This window comes from Homo sapiens, chromosome 6 (assembly GCF_000001405.40).
Source record: "Homo sapiens chromosome 6, GRCh38.p14 Primary Assembly".
In the NCBI taxonomy this organism is placed as follows: Eukaryota; Metazoa; Chordata; class Mammalia; order Primates; family Hominidae; genus Homo; species Homo sapiens.
Genome location: NC_000006.12, coordinates 154,650,210 through 154,651,117, shown reverse-complemented (window position 1 = coordinate 154,651,117; position 908 = coordinate 154,650,210). Strand labels below are relative to the sequence as shown.

Sequence of the window (908 nt, the reverse complement as noted above, 5' to 3'; positions counted from 1 at the left end):
CTTAAAAAAGAAGGAAATTCTGTTTTTTGCAACAGCATGAACGAAACTGGAAGGCCTTAAGTGAAATAAACCAGGCACAGAAAGGCAAATACCACAAAACCTCGCATACACAACACATCTGTTTTCATTGTGTTTTGCTGTATTGTGCTTCACAAATATTGTGGTTTTTATAAATTGATGGTTTGTGGCAACCCTGTGTCAAGCCAGTCTATCAGTGCCATTGTTCCAACAGCATGTGCTTACTTTGAGTCTCTGTGTCACATTTTGGTGATTCTTGCAATATTTCCAATGTTTTCACTATTATTATATCTGTTCTATGGATCTGTGATCAGTGATCTTTAATGTTTTTACTATTGTAATTATTTTGGGCCTCCACGAACTGCATCCATATAAGACAGTGGATTTAGCTGATAAATGTGTGTGTTCTGACAGCTGCAACAACTAGCATTTCCTCATCTCTCTCTCTCTCCTCAGACCTCCCTGTTCCCTGAGATAACAATATTGAAATTAGCCCAATTAAGAACCCTCCAGTGGCCTCTAAGTGTTCAAGTGAAAGGAAGGGTCACATGCCTCTCACTTTGAATCAAAACCTAAAAATGATTAAGCTTAGTGAGGAAGGCAGGTCCAAAGCCGAGATAGGCTGAAAGCTGGGTCTCTTGTGCCAAACAGTGAGCCAAGTTGTGAATGCAAAGGAAAAGCTCTTGAAGGAAATGAGAAGTGCTACTCCAGTGAACACACAAATGATAAGAAAGCAAAACAGCCTTATTGCTGTTATGAAGAAAGTTTGAGTGGTCTGGATGGAAGATCAAACCAGCCACGACATTCCCTTATGCCAAATAACTTTTCCATTGATTCTTTCAAACGCGTTCTTCCTGAGTTGGACAGGCTGAGTGAACAATAGGACAGAA

At 40.0% G+C, this 908-nt stretch overlaps 1 annotated feature.

The window, feature by feature from the left end:
* Positions 349–643: a silencer, noted in NCBI's record as "tiled region #5041; HepG2 Repressive non-DNase unmatched - State 21:Repr". NCBI's record gives its function as "represses a minimal TATA promoter and a strong SV40 promoter by Sharpr-MPRA in HepG2 cells {active_cell/tissue: HepG2}" and the evidence as "EXISTENCE:reporter gene assay evidence [ECO:0000049][PMID:27701403]".